The sequence below is a fragment of the Homo sapiens genome, chromosome 3 (assembly GCF_000001405.40).
Source record: "Homo sapiens chromosome 3, GRCh38.p14 Primary Assembly".
Taxonomy (NCBI): Eukaryota; Metazoa; Chordata; class Mammalia; order Primates; family Hominidae; genus Homo; species Homo sapiens.
In genome coordinates, this window is record NC_000003.12 from 25,496,180 (window position 1) to 25,513,618 (window position 17,439).

Consider the following 17,439-nt stretch of genomic DNA (forward strand, 5'->3'; position numbering starts at 1 on the left):
TGTTAGTCAACAATTATTATTTGAATATCTTCTGTGTGTTGGGTTCTGTCCCAGCCCTGAGCTATTCAGCTGGTGTGTCCCAGTACAATTTATTAGGTGTTGAAAAATTGAAACATTTTCCTGCCAGTTTTTGCCTGACCGTTGCCTTGGGTCTTCCCTTCCTCCATCCAACTGTACTGTCTTAGTTCCAGGGGTGTCATATTTGGCACTGCCTGGAGGCCACCTTGAGTCCACCAACTTGTCAGCTCAGGTTCCTAGGAACCAGCCTTTATACCTATCCTACTCCCCTGTCAGGGAGGCATGAGTATCGGCAAGGAAGGTGGCACACTTGATGGCACTGAGACACCTTAATGGATAAATGCACAGTGCCTATTGGGCTCCCTGAGGCTGGGGCCACCAGCCACAGGTTGGCATTCCCCCATGTCACCTATGTAACCTCTAAAGCAGACAGTGGTATTGTTTTAGACTTTAAGTATCATCCTTGAATAGGTATAACATGGAAGGAAAAGCAAAATACCATGATTGCCTAGGAGAGGAAGCATCCATGTATGCTTAGATCAGTCAGAGAAGGCTTCCTGGCCAAGTGACCTCATAGAATTTTCCTGGGTTTACTGAGAAAAGGAAGTTCCCAGAAAATGAAAGAGTACCATTACGGTGTCAGCAGTTCCAGAGTTGGTAGCAGAAAACCAGGTGTTGTTTTTTTGTTTGTTTGTTTGCTTTTTGAGACGGAGTTTCACTCTTGTTACCCAAGCTGGAGTGCAGTGGCACAATCTCAGCTCACTGCAACCTCTGCCTCCCGGGTTCAAGCGATTCTCCTGCCTCAGCCTCCCGAGTAGCTGGAATTACAGGCATGCGCCACCATGCCTGGCTAATTTTGTATTTTTAGTAGAGACGGGCTTTCTCCACGTTGGTCAGGCTGGTCTCGAACTCCCGACCCTCAGGTGATCCGCCCACCTTGGCCTCCCAAAGTGCTGGGATTACAGGGGTGAGCCACCGCGCCTGGCCGAAAACCAGGTCTTAAGACTTCTAGCCACAATCTCTTGGGATAGTATTGAAACATTCCAACTTCAGTGCAGCACAGATACCTGCCTGAGGCCCTCAGAGGTGTTACGATGACTCAGTTCTAAGATGAATATAAAAGCCCTCATGATGGTGTCCTTTAAGCCACAGGCTGGTTTCCAGAAGTTGCTATTCTTGCCCATGCAGATAGACAGTCTCTCTTTCCTTAGTCTGCAAATACCACCTCTTCTTTCGCCAAAATACCACCTCTTCTTTCGCCAATTTCTTTGCCCGCAGAAACTCCCCAAGTCTCACTCTCTAGGTACCCAACTCATCACTTCCTGGTGTGATGACACACTTGGAATCCCAGAAATTTGTGGCTGGAGAGGACCTTCCAAGTAAACTGCCCAATCCCTCATTCAGGGGAAGAGAGAGCTTAGTCCCAGATGGTTGTGACTTGCTCAAGTCCTCTCAGTGACCATGAGGAGCTTGCAGCCCAGGCGTTCAACTCCTAATCCAGGGCTCGACCTATGCTACCTCCACTCTCTCCTCTCAGGTTGCTCCTCCAAATGGGACTGAATTCATCCTCTGTACACGCTCAACTTTTGAACCTCCTCTTCTCCAGATGTGTCTAACCATCCCTTGGCTTCAATAACTGTCCCAAACTTTGTCCTGAAGTTTGGGGGTTCTAATTTTAGGTGGGAAAGATCCATGGCTTTAAATCAGTCACATAGTAAGAAGCTTATTTTTTTTCTCTGAATTCCTCAAACAGAAAATCTTGAGTCAGTGCTGATGTGTGTCTCATGCTGGCCAAGCTCCCTTTTCAGCAAGAAGTGAGGAGGGCTGGGGCTCCTGGCCTGCAGCAGACACAGTGTCCAGTATGAGTGAAATGACATCTGATTATTGTATTATTTGCATTTCTCTTATTTCATGAGTACCTTCTAATATTGACAGTTGGTCTGGTTTTCCAAGTAAGCCAGAGATAAATGGTTTCCACTTTAAATAGTGTCAAAAATAGAAGGAGGAGTCAACCTAAATTGAAATATTAGCTAAGTAAACTTTAGGTGTATGAGGATAACTGCCCCCACCCCCTACCCGCCACACACTCTGGGTCCTCAAAGCAGTGGTCTACAAGGGAGTGAGGTTTGTATAAACTCATAATATCAATGAAGGAGGAGGAGAATTTTTATGATGCAAACCTCTATTCGGCTTGGAGGGCACGTCTGTTTACTCAACCCACGTATAAAAATACCTCATAGCATATATTTTAGCCAGCAAGTATTCTAGCATGGTGGAAATGATTTACTGAAACTTAGACCTTCTCCTGAAATCCAGCCAAAAATCTGATTTGGAAAACCAAGAAGTCCTATTTAGTTTCTGCCATCATTGTTACTGAATCACACTGACTGGGCAATTAGTGACATAAAGTTCTTTAATTCTCTGGTCTTCTTTCATTTGAGCATCGTGAGATTGTTCTTCTCTCCTTTCTGGTCACTGACTAAGTGTTTGCTGAACTAAAAATTTGGTTTTTAATAAAATAAATGGAGGGGGTCACCTTTGTCCATACCTCATTTTCTTCCCACGTATATAAAAGACCATGTTTTCCATTGTGTTAATGTTTCTCGGCAGAAGAGCGATGGAGGTTTCTGTAAACTGAGTTTCTACATCTGGCAGCAGAAAGTGGCCCACAGTTATATTTTTTGTAGGGAAAGATATGTTTTTAGATGACCACTCTGCACAGATTCTGGGAGGATTTCACAGTATTTGTAACCTGTTATTTTAGATTCTAAGCACATTTGTAGTTCCAGTGGCACAAAAATAAACTGTGTTTTCTTGGAAAATGTGTGTGTCTGGGATATGTGACAGGACTTGCAACCTTAAACAAGATTTCCAGGCACTTATAGTTGAACCATGCCAGTAAAAATATGCTTATTTAGACATTAAAATCCTAGGGTGCCCACGTAAGTATCCTAAGCAATGTGTGTTACATGAGCATTCTTTGCTAATGTGCTTTAGCTTTGAACGTTCTTAGCTCTGGCTCCTGCAGTGTTAATGTACTGCAGGGAAAGTTGAACTCAGATGGTGGGGCTTAGTTTCTGTTCAACACATTTGATGATGTGTTTCTTACATTCAAGAGAGTAGTTTCTCGTGTAGGTATAAGTCACATCACAACTGGTAAAGTAGACTTCCTCACTCTTAATACTCATAGCAATGTGGAAGTTTTTCTTGGGCATTCAGAAGAGAGAAAAGGCAGCAGGTATACCCTTCATCTGTGTATTCGGCAAGCATCACTTGATCATCCATTGTCTGCAAAGCTGTATGTAGAAACGGGGAAGACAAAGAGGAAGTTGGGGACCCTTTCTTCTGGAGCCTGAAGTCTGCTTTATTTCATCGGTGTTTCCCAGAAAATCAGGATAAATTGCTTCTTTTGTCAAAATGTGATTTTCAAAAAGTTAAAAAGCAAAAAACTCTTTCAAGTGTTTGTTTAGTAAACACATGCCAAAAATTTATTTAACTCATTGATGAAGGGAATAGTAGGATGACAAAGCTGGTTTAAAGGAGGATATGAGAAAGATATTCAGGTAGATAGAAAACGAGAGAGAAAGGAGGGAAGGAAAAGAGAATACCGGAATAAGATTGCAAAGCTAGATACAAAATGGTTCATTTCCTACAGGGCAATAAAACAATAATATTTGGGGTTATTGTTCATCTGGTCAGAAATGTTTTGCACCTACACTAGACAAAAATTATGTGTAATTTACCAATTTTCTACAGTCTGTATAGAATCTGGGTCCAATCAATAGTAAAAAGTAAGTCAAACAAAGTTATATTTCCTGTGAGTGTTAGATGACACTTCGATGGGCTTGTCAGTCAGTGCTGTAGTACATTACTACCCGGTAACGCTTTCTGCAATGATGAAAATATTTTGTATATGTGGTGTTTAATATGGTAGCTATGGGCCAGATGTGGCTCTTCAGCATTTGAAATGTAGCTAATGTAACTAAAGAACTGAATTCTTAATTTTATTTACTTTTCATTAATTTTGATTTAAGTAGCCTCATGTGACTAATAGCTACCATGTTGGACGACATAGCTCTAACATGCCATTAAATGGGCAGACACTCATTTTTATTTCTTGTTTCCAATTTTGGATAATTTTTTTAAATTGTATTTTAAATGTTGTGAGAGGAGCTATGTAAAAGAACTCAGAGAAGACTCCTTTGAAAAAACTAACTCTTGCATTAGGCAAATAATTTCTTTTTCTTTCTTTTCTTGTTTTTTTTTTTTTTTTTTTTTTTTTTTGGTTGTTGTTGTTGTTGAGACAGAGTCTCACTCTGTCACCCAGACTGGAGTGCGGTGGCACAATCTCAGCTCACTGCAACCTCTGCCTCCCAGGTTCACGCAATTCTCCTGCCTCAGCCTCCCAAGGGCTGGGATTACAGGCACGCACAACTGTGCCTGCTAATTTTTGTATTTTTTAGTAGAGACAGGGTTTCACCATGTTAGCCAGGCTGGTCTCAAACTCCTTACCTCAAATGATCCTCCTGCCTCAGCCTCCCAAAGTGCTGGGATTACAGGAGTGAGCCACTGCACCCAGCCAGTAATTTCTTTTATTGGGTAAAAATCCTCATATATTGGTTTTCTTGGTAGTGCGCTCATCTGAAATTGTTCTCGTCAGCAAGGGAGCCAGTTATGAAGCTAAGCCTGTTTGGAGGGAACCCAACTCTGGTGTTTTCCAAGTAAATCAGCTTGGAATTAACTTTCCTTTAGCAAGATAATAATGGTCATGTCTAGTTTTGATTAAAAGGGGCTTTTGGGTTTGCAACAAAGGAAGAAACTATTGATATCTCACGAGGATTTTAAGGTTTATGTAAGTTAACTTTTCTGCTGCCATCACTTCGTTACTCAAAAAGAGCAATTAATGCATTGATAAGGTTGGCTTTGATTTCTGATGAAGCTCATTTGCTTTACTGAGTTTTTTCATCTTCTTGCTTGCTTGCAGGGCTTTTTCCGCAGAAGTATTCAGAAGAATATGATTTACACTTGTCACCGAGATAAGAACTGTGTTATTAATAAAGTCACCAGGAATCGATGCCAATACTGTCGACTCCAGAAGTGCTTTGAAGTGGGAATGTCCAAAGAATGTAAGTGGAGTCTCAAAAAACTTTTTCCCTGTTTTCCTTATCTCTGTGATTTGCTCACCTTCCACAGTCATGTGGAATTCACACACGACACTAACGAAATCTTGCCAAGGGTAGGTGTGAATAGAGATGACATGAAAATGGGGATTGATATGGAGATTTTGAGATGAAACTTGAGTGACAGTTGGTGGAAAGGCAGGAGTTAGGCGTCGTGGATGTCAGATTTGTATTCCAAAGCAGTGGCTAACTCACTGTGGATCCCAGAGCCATTAGCAGTAACTCAAGCATATTACACAGTCACACGGTGACTCCATTTCCCCTATCTTGACAATGGGTATAAGGATCTTCGCCTGTATCGGTGAGGATAAGATAAAATGATAGGCATGAATGTTAACAGTAGTCATAATTTGCCCTTTTTTAGGAGGGAAGGATTGTATAACTTGTGGAAGAAACATTTCAAAATCTGGGACACTGGCATTTTTCCAAACTTGATTTCGTTTTTCTTCTCCAAGCCATCTTTTCCAAACAATAATGCACTTTATTAGTGCAAAAGATATTTTAAAAATACATTAAAAATTGGCTACTGGTCCATAAATATCTGATGATGGGGATTTGAAATATACCGGCTTTAGTATAAAAAGAGTATGTGTACACTGCAACAAATTTCGCTCTTTCTCTATTTGATGTGTACAAATGTAGGGAATAAGAAAGTATTAGGTGGATGGCTTGGCTCAAGCAGGCATAGGGAGGTCATGGGGCTATGTGCCCAGTGATGCTCTTGTGGGGCTGCTGCTCTTTCTGTCACTCCATCATGGGGGGATTTTGGTGATGGCGTGCTGTGCACATGTGAGCAGTGGGCTGGGTGCTGCGTGGGGACCCTAGAGATACCTGAGACATGGCTGCTGCCCTCCAGGAGCATAGGATAAAGAGCCAGGCACCCCAATCATGATCCTCTAATGGAGTTGGAGGAATTACATTATGAATCAAGGGCTCTTAGATGTTGGAACTGGGAAACGTGACCCTTGGGTGAAAACTGATTGAAGAGGTAAAGCCCCTGTAGCCAACCAGAGGCATTACTCTGAGGGTGCTCAGCTGGGAATCTTGCCCTCTGCTGGGAGCTATTGCTCAGGGATTGTAGCAGATGTTTGTTGGTAGCCCACCCAGATATCTTTCCTAACTGTACTCCTGCCCCTTCACCTTTCCTAACTGTACTCAGATTTTAGTTTTCTTTTATACCCCTTAGGTTTCAATGTTTCAGAGAAAGCTTCACAGCTGGGATCCACTCAGTCAATTAAAGCCAATCAGTGTATTTTATGTTCCAGCCGCATGCGTGAACATGTAACCTAGGCTGGTTCAATGAGAGGGAATTCAAGACTCGTGCGTAGAATATCAGGACAGGAGTACCCTTCCCTCCATCCATGTGAACAAGGAAACAGGTAGCCACAAGTACCCCTGGTGGCCATCCTCCAATCCCCAGGGAAGTCAGCTGTAGGACAAAGCATGCACTGTAGATGGAAAAGTGGAAAGACAGAAATCAAGCCCTTAATAGCACCATTGAATTACTGAACCAGCCAACCCTATGAAACCACTGCCTCCAGGTCGTTTTGTTATATCTGCCAAGAAGAACCCATTACAGCTTTTGGAATGAGTGTCTTGTTAATATTTAGAGTCCTCATGAATGAGAATGGACTGGGTCATCAGACAGGAAAGCATCCTGCATGTGCCATTCCTTCTGGGAAGCTCTTTTTCCTCTGGACAATTCCATCTGCAGATCATGGGTCACTTTTCATCCAGTTCCTTTCCCTCTCTCCAAATTTTAGAGCCATTGAGTTACTCAAAATCCATACATTTGAAGATAGGAAGCTAACATTCAATTGGCTCAGGCTCTAAATCCTTCCACTGAAGAGAAAAGCAGGATAACCTGAAATAGCCAGATTATTCCTATGTGTGAGATTCACGGGATGATCACCTTCTGCTCTAGTTTTGGTCTGATGTTCTGTAGACATGGATGGCACACAGCATTTCTGTGGGAGAATTTCAGTTCAGGCTGAAATTATAAATGAGTAAGCCAGATGTGGACTCAGGGAAAATCAGTACTTTTGCATTATTTTGTGTGGGCTGGAGACCCATTTCCTGCTTACATTACTTAAAACCCATATCCTGCTGCTCTGTAAAAACTGGCAGCTTGGTTGGCAATTAAAAAAAATAATGTTTACACCCACAGGAAAACTCCAGCATCAGCCCTCAAGGAGCTTATCACCTTAATTAGATTTAAAAATATAGAAATGGGAAGAAAATGGGATCATTATGTCCAAGTACACAAAAATAAATGTATTTTTGTTAGAAGGAAATTGAAGGGAAAGAAATAAACACTTGGAATGTAGAGATTGAGAGTCTAATTGGATATTTTTAAAGTTGAAACAGAAGGAAGCAGGCAAATATGAGAATCAGTAACCAATTATACCACAGTATACGCAACTGAAATGAAACCAAGAATAATAGATACTCATAGAATGTTAGAAGTGAAAAGGGATCTTAGAGATTGATTTTCACTCACCTCTCTCATTTGACGTACAAGTACACTAGGACTCAGAAAGATGACACGGTTCTCCCAGCAGTCCCAACTGGCTGAAGACATAACCAAGACTACAGTGAAATCGGCCACCTCTCCTCCCCATGCCTTCTCTGAAGTAGCGAGATTAGCAAGATTCACATTCCATTCTAGCCATAGGACATGTCAGTTCATCTGTATGTGTCAGAATCCTTTAGATGAGAGTGACAGAAAACCCAGCTCAAACTGGCTTAAGCTACACAACTCTACGCATGTCACTGAACAGTCCAGAGTAATATGCTGGATCCAAAGGCACATGTTTGTTTTTGGGGCATTGTTTCTCTTTGTCTCTCACAGCTGATTTTTGCTGTGCTGGCTTCATTCCCAGGAAGATTTTCCCCATGTCTAACAAAGAAGGGCACCAACAGCTCCAGACTGTTAATCTATTGACCCAGCAAAAAGAGAGACTATTAGATCCCGATTGTTCCATCAAAGCCTAGGGACAGATTCTCATTGGCCTAACTTGGGTCATGTGCCCTTCTGTGAACGCATTGCTTTGAGCAGGGCATTGCTTTGGGCAGGGGATAGAATATTGTGATTAGCCAGGTCTGGATCATGTGTCAATATCTACAGCCCAGGATTGAGGTTGACTTCACCCAAACCATGTGGGTGGGGAGTGTGGAAGAAAATGTTCCTCAGAGGGGAATCAGAAAGACAGGAGGCAAAAATGACCTCATGTCCACCATGATTTGTCAGGTCCCACAGTGCTGTTCCCAAGGCACTCTTCTTTATGCTGTGGGAGAAAAAAAGAAGGATAAAACTGAGAAAATTTAAGAATCATTATAGTAATAGCTAACTGGACAGGGTATTTTCTATGTGCCAAGTATTACATTAACCACTTTTTTTTTTTTTTTTTTTTTGTGTCACCCAGGCTGGAGTGCAGTGGCGTGATCTCAGCTCCCTGCAACCTCCACCTCCTGGGTTCAAGCGATACTCCTGCCTAAGCCTCCCAAGTAGCTGGCATTATAGGCGCCTGCCACCACGCCCGGCTAATTTTTGTATCTTTAGTAGAGATGGCGTTTCATCAAGTTGGCCAGGCTATTCATCATGTTGGCCAGGCTGGTCTTGAACTCCTGACCTCAGGTGACCCACCCACTTCAGCCTCCCAGAGTGCTGGGATTACAGGCGTGAGCCACCGCGCCTGGCCTGCATTAACCACTTTTAATGCTTTATCCCATTGATCTTCATAACAACCCTATGAGATAGATTAGTTACAATTCCTCCTTCCCAGGTCCCACCATTTTTTTGGCAGATGTGGAAGCTGAGACACAGAGACATTAATTTACTCAAGGTAACACAGTTAGTAAGGGGCAGTGCTGAGATTTGGAACCAGGCAGTTTGATGAGAAAGTCTATATTCAAACTGAAATATATACTGCGTGCCATAGGAAGCAGCGTTTAAAACTCCGAGTTCCTTTTTCCACTCTATTTTATTGCCAGTGGTTAATAAAACAATAACCATGCTCCTTGCTCTATATTAGAGATGTATCCCCTAGAAAATCATGTGCAAATTTAATTTTTATAGATCAAATTTGATTTTACATGTGTAAGGGGATTTACAAGTAAAAGAAATCCTTTAACGTGGCCTATCAGAACAGTATGCTTATTTCTTCATTTTTTTTTTTTTCTGTTTTGTAAATGCTGCTGGGTATACCTTGTATTTTCCAAGGGCTTATAGGACTAGGGAAGCCTTTTTGCAGAGAAACAGCTGTCTGTCAAAGCATAGAATAATGGCAAGTGAAAAAAAAACTCGATTTTTAGCAGCATTCTAAAGAGGTGGTACAATAGTTTATGAAGAATTGGAGAAGGAGGCAAAGGAAGCAAACTGACTCGAATGATGAACTTCTGCTGGTGGCGTGGGAGGTTTGTAATGATGTCAGAAGAGGAAAGCATGTGGCAAAGCCCTGAAATAAAAACAATTAATGAAAAAGAGAAACAATAAATGAAGGCATAACATTTGGATTATGAAAGAAATGTCCAGACAAGCTTACGGTATAGATAATAGCTAATGGTCCATGATGGGAAAGAAGATTTAAGATGATACTGTTTAGAAACCATGGGAGTAAAGCCCTAGAAAGCCTGATCATATGCATTTAAGTCAGTTACAGAAATTCAAATGAATAGTTCAGATCTTTAAGCCAAAGGTCAGCAAACCATTTTTTAAAAGAACCAGCTCTTCAGGCATGGTAGCGCGCTCCTATAATCCCAGCTACTCAGGAGGCCAAGGCAGGAGAATCGCTTGAACTTGGGAGGCGGAGGTTGCAATAAGCCGAGATCGCACCATTGCACTCCAGCCTGGGCGACAGGGTGAGACTCCATCTCAAAAAAAAAAAAAAAAAAAAAAAACCAGCTCTTTTTTAAAAGATGTTAGAAATTTTAGAAAATATTTTTGAGGCCCTGTGCAGTAGCTCACACTTGCAATCCCAGCAATTTGTGAGAAGGAGATGGGAGGATCTCTTGAGCCCAGTAGTTTGAGACCAGCCTGGGCAACGTGGCAAGACCCCAACTCTACAAAATTTTTTTAAAAATTAGCTGAGAGTGATGGTGTGGACCTGTGGTCCCAGCTACTCAGCTAATCGGGAGGCTGAGGAAGGAGGATCACTTGAGCCTGGGAGGTTGAGGCTGCAATGAGCCATTTTCATGCCACTTCACTCCAGCCTGGGCAACAGAGCAAGACCCTGTCTCACAAAAAAAGAAAATATTTGTCCCTGTCTTCATTACTTAACTCTGCCATTATAGCGCAAAAGTAGCCATGGAAAATATAAACAAACAAGTGTGGTTATATTCCAGTAAATCTTTATTTACAAAAGCAGATGAAGGGCTAGGTTTGGCCCACAGGCCATGGTTTGCCAATGTCTGCTTTAAGTGGCTCATCCGGTGGCCAAGGATGCCACTTAGGGCTGCTCTGTGATCCCATCCCATGCTTCTCCCCTACCAGTAGACACACCCAGCTTCCAGCCACACTACACCATGCTGACTTATGAGCCGTATGTCTCCATTTTTCTGAGGATTTACCTCCTTCTCCATCAGTTGAACCCCAGGAGCCTGATGAAATGTCATTTCCTCTTTGAAGCCTCCCCTAAGCCTCATTCCACACTCTAGGCAGAATTATTCATTCTTCCCTCCCCAACCCTGTTTTCTCACAGTGCTTCGCACAAAGCTCCATGAACCGCAAACTTATTATATTATACAGATAGTATGATTCTTCACACACCAGTGAGTCTCCCTGGCTGGATTATAAACTCTTAAAAGGCATGCATCATGTCTTTCTCACCTTGTAGCCCCTGAATATAGCATGAAGCTTTGCTCGGTGAAGTTAGATTGATCAAGGGGTTAAATGTGACCAGTTTTAAAGGCAAACCCATCTTCTCCCTGGCTTTACTTTCTGAAAAGTTGTCAGAGGCAAAACAATTCTAGGTGTGTATTCAAATCGCAGTCATTCGTTTATCTGCTAGGGGCCCAGAACAAGTTACTCAACTTCTTGGAGGCTGTGTTTTCTACCTGGATGAGAGAAACATTGGTATTGACTAACAGCCCAGGCGTGACATGAGAATTGATGCTTTTAATCCTGTTTAGACAGCAGTGTTTCCATAAGCTGCTTCCTCTTCCCAGTTCCCTCCCCCAGAAGACATTAGATCTTCTAGGGCTTTTGCCAGTGAAAAAGGCTGAGCTGAGCAGGTGTCTTGGGGAGTTGTGCATGACAGAAGCCCAGTTAAGAGGGAGAAGCAAAGATGGACATGTATTGGGGTTTGGACCTTACTTTTGCCAAACCTTAGCTATCAAAGAAGGGGGTCCAGGGATAGGGGAGACACTGGGGTCAGGAGGTCAGAAGGAAAATGGAAGACAAGAAGTAGGCCAGAATTATGACTCGGGTGCTGTGAGGAAGGGAGAGTAGTATACCCTGGATGCCCCTGAGGTTAGGCTAGGTTCCCATGGGTCATTGGCCTCCTCCAAGACTGGGTGCCCCTACCCTGTGTCTGTAACAGAAACACCATGGAAGGTACTGTTGCTGCCACCCCCTCATTCCAGCTCCTTTCTTTCTGAAAACCACTGGCCGTGAATTCACACAGGGAGCCTCTTTGTATTGCTCTTTGAGGTTATGTTTATGTGCCCATGCCCTTGAGTGATGGGCAAAACATGTCTTTGATTTTGTTTGAGAATGCTTTTTAATGTTTATTTCACAGCATTTTTTTCCTATGACAGTTTCATAAGTGTATTTGTAGAATAGAGCAATTGAATAATCTCTGAATTTAAAAGTCCCTAAGCACTCATTGACACCTTCTCATTTGGGGCATATTGAGCTTAAAAACAGCTTTTCATAAAGTCTCTAAATTCCAATTTATACTTTAGACATGAACGTCCCCATGGGTCGATTGGATGGAATGAATGTGCTTTGTATGGACACTTAGATACTTCTGTGGGAGGATTTTGTTGCTCTGTGTTTCTCTCATTTCCCCTTTACTGTTAAACTTAGATTAAAACAAACCTTTTGGACTAAAGGCACTTAACCTCAGTTAGAATCACCTTTGCTTGTGCACAAATTATATTGATGTGCTCATTGGTTCTACTGCTGGATTTTACTGGCTTAATAACAGGGAAATTCATATTGTAGGTTGCACTGTGTAGTTGGGAAATTACATAAAAATCATCATCAGGGCACTTAATGTCTTTCTAATTTTAGTTTATTTCTTCATTTGTTCCCGTGTTAGATCCCAGCCTGTTACTTTGCTTCCAGGGTTCACTGTGATCATTTTGTTCTGTTCACCAGAAACTACCATTAACCCCCACCTTCTCTTCTTGCTCTGTGGCACACAAATCCCTGAAGAGCCCCCCAAAAGTAAGTGAAAGGCTGGAAACTTCCTACTTTTATACCTAAAAATGTCCTAGAAGCTGGAAAATAAAAATCTGCTGCCCCTTTCTACTTGCCAAATATGAATATTTGCCTGCATCTGTTTAGGAGATTTAAAAAAAAAAAAAATTATGTTTGGGTACCAGCAGCCCGGTGATGTCAGTGCCACTGTGGGACTCAAAGCCCATTAACACTCAGACTGAAAAGGAAGTATTAAAATTCCTTCAGCTTTACTAATATATTTCTCCCCACTGCCTGTCTCCTGGAGAGGGGACACTCAGTACATTCTCACCTTAGAAAAATGAGAAATTTCCATTACACAATAGAACAGCACAGGGCAAAGAACAAAGGGCTTTGAAGTTAGCCTGAGCTGAGGTCAAATGCAGCCCTCGCCTCTAGCTATCTCAACTTGGGCACATGGCAAAATTTTGCTTCACGTGAAATGAACTAACCCATTGCGTGGAGATTATCACAGAAATGTTGCAGGATTGTTTTGTGGATTGGACTCATGGGGTAATGCATTTAGCACCGTGCTTGGCACATAGTAAGTGCCGAATGAGAGTGGTTGTCTGCTACTGCTTCTTTTGGTGACACAGTTTGGTTGCCGCTGTTGCTGCTGCCACAGCTGTGTTTTATTATAGCTACAGCCTTGATTATACTTCAGGAGAAAAGTTAAAAGTAGAGACTCTATTCATTTTGAATTGTTTAGAACACCACAGCTTAGAAGTGCAGCTCCAAATATTATGTCACAGCCTTAAAAATAAAGTTTGCAAGCATGGTTTCTAAAATAAATATCCACCTTTCTTGGCTACTTAAACCGGGAGCCAGGTGGCTCATTTGCCCAGAGATGCCGAGACATGTGTAATCAGAGAATGGGAGAGTATCCTGGTATCCTGGAACCCAACTCCATGGAGAAAACTGAACTGGGGTGTTAGAAAGGACGCCTGGCCCCCTTCCTTCCTCAGTCAGCTCAAGGTGAGGCCATCAGGGTCTTCCAGCAGTGCTGAGCCCAAGCTAAATCGCCACAGAGACAAAGTTGCCCTTCCCCTTCCCCGTCCTCCCAGCAGCTGCCTTTCTTTGCTCATCTGGCACCTTCCATCTCTCCTCTGCCTTATTTGGGACTCTGTGGCCTGCCTTCCTCCAGATCCGTCATGTCCCTTCTCCCAACCAACTCCTGTCCACCCTGTGGCCTCCTCAGCAAGACTGCTTTTGCTGTTAGCCACCTGAGAGGAAAGCTGGGGAGGATATCAGTGGTGCTGTGGTAGTTCATGGTCATGAGGGGCTTTACTAATGGCAACAGCCCCAAGACTTCAGGTTATCCCATGCAGCAGATAGGACAGGAATCATATTCTGATTCAGTTTCCTGAGATTGAGAGAGGGTAAGAGACCTGCCTGAGGTCACACAGCTGGTATACACCCATGGGTCTTAATTCTAATTCCCAGCATCCTTTCAACTACCCTTTGCTTCTCTAAACAATGAAGTTCTTGCACATATTTAAAGCTACACGGTTTTCAGTATCTTCACCTGTATTCGCTCCCACATCAAATATTCTATAATTACAGGCCGGGCACAGTGGCCCACACCTGTAATCCCAGCACTTTGGGAGGCTGAGGTGGGTAGATCACTTGAGGTCAGGAGTTTGAGACCAGCCTGGGCAACACAGTGAAACCCTGTCTCTACTAAAAATACAAAAAAATTAGCCGGGCATGGTGGTGAGCCTCTGTAATCCCAGCTACTCTGGAGGCTGAGGCACAAGAATTACATGAACCCAGGAGGCAGAGGCTGCATTGGGCCAAGATCGAGCCACTGCACTCCAGCCTGGGCAACACAGCAAGACCCTGTCTCAAAAAAAAAATCTATAATTATGTGGTTTGATTTAACGTGTATACTAGTTTAATGCAGTATTTCCCTAAGTGTAAACTGCACACTGTGATATGAAATATAATTTTAGGGAATATTGAACTTGGCATAAGACAGTATGAACTCATTTAATGATAAAGATTTTCCTTTCCAATATTTATTGTCTTTTTATTACCAATGAGAAAAATCTCAGTTTGATGCCAATACAGCCTTAATTAATATTTCTTGAATCTCTGCTAATCTGTCTTTTTAACAGATGGCAACAATCCCTAGGTAGGACTGAAATGTATTTATTTCAGATGTCTGCAAATTTTCTTAAAAGGCCAGGCAGTAAATATTTTAGCATCTGCAGTCCATTTGGTGTTTTTTTGCAACTACTCAACTCTACTATTGCAGCTTCAGAGCTTCACAATTGAGCATGGCTTTGTTCCAATAAAACTTTACAAACACAGTCACTTGACCTGAAAACCCTGTTTATTTTTTGTTTTTTGTTTTGGTTTGTTTTTTTTTGAGATGGCGTCTTGCTCTGTTGCCCAGGCTGGAGTGCAGTGGCACGATCTCGGCTCACTGCAAGCTCCGCCTCCTGGGTTCACGCCATTCTCCTGCCTCAGCCTCCCAAGTAGCTGGGACTACAGGCGCCCGCCACCACGCTCGGCTAATTTTTTGTATTTTTAGTAGGGACAGGTTTCACCGTGTTAGCCAGGATGGTCTCAATCTCCTGACCTCGTGATCTGCCCACCTCAGCCTCCCAAAGTGCTGGGATTACAAGTGTGAGCCACAGTGCCCAGCCAACCCTGTTTATTTTTTACCCTACCTTTCTATTTATGGCAAATGACACCCCTTTCCCCTTTATAGTAGTAATACAAACATTTCCTCTAAATTTTATTTAAGAAAAAAAATCAATTGAGACAGAAATCGTTAAGTGTGTAGCAGCCTGTGAATATGTGCAAAATTGTGAAGGCAGTACTTCAAAGGACTGAAGTTTGAGAAACACTGGTTTTATATGTTCTTGTATCTTAGGAATAGAAGCAGAGTCTGCAGCTGTGGCCTGAGCCCTCTCAGAGTCTCTGTAGTGCCTCAGTTGCTGGTCAGATCCCACTGACATGCCCCTGCCTTACTGCCTGCCGCTAACCCTTCCTCACATGCTGAACTCTGTGCACAACTTGAGGATGGGAAGGAGGGTCTTGCTTTTTTGCATCCTCAAGGTTTAGACCTTTCCTGATAAAACAAGGGGTCAATGAATGGGTGGATCTGTCACAGTGGATTTTAAGCATCCGGGGGAACTGATGGAGGGATGCAGTATGCTGCTTAAAGCCTGGACTTAAGGGGGAGTCAGATTCATACCCCAGCCCACCACTTACTTAGCTCTGTGTGATCTTGGGCAGGTCACTTAACATCTGTGTACACCAAGTTGCTTGTCTGTAACATGAAGAGAGTAATAGTACCTACTTCATGTGGCTATTGTGAGAAGGAAATGAATTAATACATGGCAGGGGCTAAAAACAGTACTTAGCTAAGCGTTAGCTCCTGTTACTGTTCCGGTATCTGTTATGATACTGAGCCATCCTGGTCTCTAAAGATTGGTGTATTCATTCATCAGCGGTCCTTAGTGATTGTACAGGACAGCTAATGCTCCTTCCGACCCAGTGGTCCCTTTACTCAAAACAAGAAGTACATGTCCTTGGGACTCAAATCTACCCCCACAAAGCAAGGTGATGGGTAGATGGGGCCAGAAGCAGTTTCAGCTCTGAGCCAGGTGATCTGATGTTGGAATTCATGGCACTTCATCGCTTACACAATCAACTCCAAATGTCCAAATGTGTTAGCATGGGCAGAGAGCCCTGCACAGCTGCCCCAGCCTGTCCAACACTGATCTCTTGTCATGTGCCCCCAAATGTGCCACACACTAGCCATCACTGACCACTCGGTGTCCTCTCATGTGACACAGCATCCTTAGGCGGTGCCTGCTGTTCTCTCTGCCTGCAATGCCTTTCCCTCCCTACTCCTCCTTGAAGCCACCTTCTTCCTAAATGAGCAGGCATGCGCACATACACGCGACACACTTTTCTAACAGCAAGGAGTGTGTGTGGGTCACTCTTGCCTCTCCATGCTATGAAGTGTTAGTGGCACCTCTATTGAGATGACTTTCAGAGTCAAACTGTTTTTTGGGTGGTCCAGGAGCTTTTGGTGTCTGTGTGTGTGTATAGGTGTTGAGAGAGGGAAAACTCATCGCACAGAAGGTCCCTCACTGGCTGGGGGTGCTTCAAGAACAAGTATGGAGTTTGGTTTTTATTTATATCTTTAATTGTGAGCCTAGTGCCTTGTACTTAATAGATATTTCTGGAATGAATTGAAAGCAAAGGGTACGGCTGGGTGCGATGGCTCATGCCTGTAATCCCAGCACTTTGGGAGGTGGATCACGAGGTCAGGAGATTGAGACCATCCCAGCTAACACGGTAAAACCCTGTCTTTACTAAAAAAAAAAAAAAAAAAAAAAGTAGCCAGATGTGGTGGCATGCACCTGTAATCCCAGCTACTCAGGAGGCTAAGGCAGGAGAATCGCTTGGACCTGGGAGGCGGAGGTTGCAGTGAGCTGAGATCGCGCCACCGCACTCCAGCCTGGACAACAGACGGAGACTCCATCTCAAAGAAGAAAGAAAGAGACAGAGAGGGAGAGAGAAAGAAGGAAAGAAAGGAAAGAAATGAAGAAAAGAAAGAAAAGGGTACCTAAGGACTGGGGATTCTGAATCAGGAACTTCTGTCTGATCTTCCAAGAGTTAAGAGATTTGAACACGTGAACTTAAAGTGAAATACAAGCCCAAGAAAACATTAGGTCTTATTGATATCATGAGCCCATTTTTACCTTTCCCATTCTGCCTCCTCTCCCACTTTGCACCATATGAGTGATAGCATGTTACCCCTTTCATGACATGACATCCCAATGCTGTTTTTTCCATGGTGGATGTAAACAGATTAAG

At 43.0% G+C, this 17,439-nt stretch overlaps 1 protein-coding gene and 1 long non-coding RNA gene across 11 annotated transcripts in view; one reads left to right on the forward strand and one right to left on the reverse strand.

The window, feature by feature from the left end:
• The window catches only part of RARB (retinoic acid receptor beta), a 768,612-nt gene that overhangs the window by 666,859 nt on the left and 84,314 nt on the right, over positions 1–17,439 (forward strand). For all 10 annotated transcript variants that reach the window (NR_110893.2, NR_110892.2, NM_001290216.3 and 7 more), the window contains one exon: positions 5,003–5,144. Coding sequence is in view for 8 of the 10 variants with exons in the window: in NM_001290216.3 (NP_001277145.1) it covers positions 5,003–5,144 (142 nt within the window). In the remaining 2 variants the exon portion in view is untranslated. The remainder of the gene's footprint in view (positions 1–5,002; positions 5,145–17,439) is intronic.
• LOC124909356 (uncharacterized) lies at positions 3,480–8,214 on the reverse strand. The gene is made up of 2 exons (XR_007095847.1): positions 7,699–8,214; positions 3,480–5,491 (listed from the first exon to the last, which is right to left on the reverse strand). It is a non-coding gene; the product is annotated as an uncharacterized LOC124909356 (long non-coding RNA).